Here is a 3,527-nt window from a genome sequence, read left to right on the forward strand (position 1 = left end):
AAGGGATAGGTGGGGCCATGCTCCCTCTGAAGGCTCCCGGGAGAATCCTTCCCTGCTGCTTCCAGCTTCTGGTGGCTCCAGGCGTTCCTTGGTTGGACAACTTCAATCTCTGCCTCCACCTTCCCATGGCCTTCTCTGTACCTGTCTCAAATCTGCCTCTGCTTTTCTCTTCCCCTAGGTAATCCAGGTAATCCAGGATGATCTCCTCTTGAGATCCTTAATTACATCTACAAAGATTCTTTTCCAAATAAGCTCACATTTACAGGTTCTGGGGGTTGGGATGTAGACATACCTTTTGGGGGGGCCACCATTCAACCCACTATACCTTCCCATAAATAAGATTTATTAAACCTTTGCAGCCATCACCAAAGGTGGAGCAGCCAAAATGAAGTACAATCCCTTTGTGACTTCTGACCGAAGCAAGAACTGCAAAAGGCATTTCAATGCACCTTCCCACACTCGCAGAAAGATTATGTCTTCCCCTCTTTCCAAAGAGCTGAGACAAAAGTACAATGTTCGATCGAAGACCATCCAAAAGGATGACGAAGTTCAGGTTGCGCGAGGACACTGTAAGGGTCAGCAAATTGGCCAAATAATCCAGGTTTACAGGAAGAAATATGCCATCTACATTGAACGGGTGCAGTGGGAAAAGGCTAACAGCATAGCTGTCCCTGTGGGCATTCACCCAGCAAGGTGGTTATCACTAGACTAAAACTTGACAAAGGCCACAAAAAGATCCTTGAACGGAAAGCCAAATCTCGCCAAGTAGGAAAGGAAAATGGCAAATACAAGAAAGAAACAATAGGGAAGGTGCAGGAATAAAATAATCTTTTTTATTTTCTGAGACGGAGTCTCGCTCTGTCACCCAGGCTGGAGTGCAGTGGCGCGATCTCGGCTCACTGCAAGCTCCGCCTCCTGGGTTCACGCCATTCTCCTGCCTCAGCCTCCCGAGTAGCTGGGACTACAGGCGCCCGCCACCACGCCCGGCTAATTTTTTGTATTTTTTAGTAGAGACGGGGTTTCACCATGTTAGCCAGGATGGTCTCGATCTCCTCTCCTCGTGATTGGCCCACCTCAGCCTCCCAAAGTGCTGGGATTATAGGCGTGAAAGATTTGTTTTTGTTGCTATTATTATTTTACCTTTTTTTTTTTTTTTGAGACGCAGTTTCGCTCTTGTTGCCCAGGCTAGAGTGCAGTGGCTCGATTTTGGCTCACCGCAACCTCCACCTTCCAGGTTCAAGTGATTCTCCTGCCTCAGCCTCCCGAGTAGCTGGGATTACAGGCATGAGCCACCATGCCCAGCTAATTTTGTATTTTTAGTAGAGATGGGGTTTCTCCATGTTGGTCAGGCTGGTCTTGAACTCCCGACCTCAGGTGATCCACCCACCTTGGCCTCCCAAAGTGCTGGGATTACAGGCATGAGCCACCACGCCTGGCCTTTTTTTTTTTTTTTTTTTTTTTTAACCTTTGCCTAGATGTCAGAGGATGTATGAGAATGCCTGGGCGCTTAGGCAGAAGTTTGCTGCAGGGACAGGGCCCTCATGGAGAACCTCTGCTAGGGTAGCACAGAAGAGAAATGTGGGATCAGAGCCCCCACACAGAGTCCCTACTGGGGGCACCACCTAGTGGAGCTGTGAGAAGAAGGCCACCATCCTTCAGACCCCAGAATGTTAGATCTACTAACAGCTTGCACCGTGCACCTGGAAAAGCCGCAGACACTCAATGCCAGCCAGTGAAAGCCGCCAGGAGAGGGGCTATACCTGCAAAGCCACAGGGGTGGAGCTGTCCAAGGCCGTGGGAGCCCACCTCTTGCATCAGCATGACCTGGATAGGAGACATGGAGTCAAAGGAGATCATTTTGGAATTTTAAGATTTGACTGCCCTGCTGGATTTCAGACTTGCATGGGGCCTGTAGTCCCTCTGTTTTGACTAATTTACTCCATTCAAAATGGCTATATTTACCCAATTCGTGTACCCCCATTGTATCTAGGAAGTAACTAACTTGCTTTTGATTTTACAGCCTCATATGTGGAAGGGACTTGCCTTGTCTCAGATGAGATTTTGGACTGTGGACTTTTGAGTTAATGCTGAAATGAGTTAAGACTTTAGGGACAGCCGGGTGCGGTGGCTCAAGCCTGTAATCCCAGCACTTTGGGAGGCTGAGGCGGGCAGATCACGAGGTTAGGAAATCGAGACCAACCCAGCTAACATAGTGAAACCCCGTCTCTACTAAAAATACAAAAACTTAGCCAGATGTGGTGGTGGGCGCCTGTAGTCCCAGCTACTCAGGAGGCTGAGGCAGGAGAATGGCATGAACCCGGAAGGCAGAGCTTGCAGTGAGCTGAGATTGCGCCACTGCACTCCAGCCTGGGTGACAGAGCGAGACTCCATCTCAAAAAAAAAAAAAGACTTTAGGGGACTGTTGAGAAGGCATGATTGGTTTTGAAATGTGAAGGCAAGAGATTTGAGAGAGGCCAGGGGCAGAATGATATGGTTTGGCTCTCTCTCACACCCATAGCTCCCGTAATTCCCACATGTTGTGACAGGGACCTGGTGGGAGATAACTGAATCATGGGAGCAGGTCTTTCTTGCGCTGTTCTCATGATAGTGAATAAGTCTCATGAGATCTGACGGTTTTAAAAATGGGAGTTTCCCTGCACAAGCTCTCTCTCTCTCTTTGCCTGCTGCCATCCAAGTAAGATGTGACTTGGTCCTCCTTGCCTTCTGCCATGATTGTGAGGCCTCCCCAGCCATGTGGAACTATAAGTCCATTAAACCTCTTTCTTTTGTAAATTGCCCAGTCTCAGGTATGTCTTTATCAGCAGCGTGAAAACAGACTAGTACAGATCAGGAGTTCAAGCCCATTCTGGCCAACGTGGTGAAACCTTTTCTCTCCTAAAAAATACAAAAGTTAGCCAGGCATGGTGGTGCATGCCTGTAATCCCAGCTACTTGGGAGGTTGAGGCATGAGAATCACTTGAACCTAGGAGACAGAAGTTGCAGTGAGCCAAGATTGTATCACTGCACTCCAACCTGGATGACAGAGCAAGGCTCTGCTCAAAAAATAATATTGATAACAAATAATTAACAGATAGTCCCCTTGCCTCTCACAAGTTAGACAGAACTGCCCAGAATGCCCTGCTGAAGAGTTGTAACAGATAACCCTGTTCCTCCTTAACCTCTCTGTGCTTCATTTGCTCACCTGTAAAATAGTGATCATAGTAGTACCTATCTTGTGGCGATGTAGAGAGGATTAAATAAACTAATTAAGAGGGCCAGGCACAGTGGCTCATGCCTATAATCCCAGCACTTTGAGAGGCTGAGGTGGGCAGATCACTTGAAGTCAGGAGTTCGAAACCAGCTTGAACAACATGGTAAAACCCTGTCTCTACTAAAAAAAAAAAAAAAAATTGCCAGGCATTGTGGCAGGTGCCTGTAATCCCAGCTACTCGGTTGGCTGAGGCAGGAGAATCGCTTGCACCCAGGAGGCAGAGGTTGTAGTGAGCTGAGATCGCACCACTGCACTC

The 3,527-nt window shown here is 48.1% G+C and overlaps 1 pseudogene; it reads left to right on the top strand.

Moving 5' to 3' along the window:
- RPL26P13 (ribosomal protein L26 pseudogene 13) lies at positions 353 to 836 on the top strand (annotated as a pseudogene).

This window comes from Homo sapiens, chromosome 2 (assembly GCF_000001405.40).
Source record: "Homo sapiens chromosome 2, GRCh38.p14 Primary Assembly".
Classification (NCBI taxonomy): domain Eukaryota; kingdom Metazoa; phylum Chordata; class Mammalia; order Primates; family Hominidae; genus Homo; species Homo sapiens.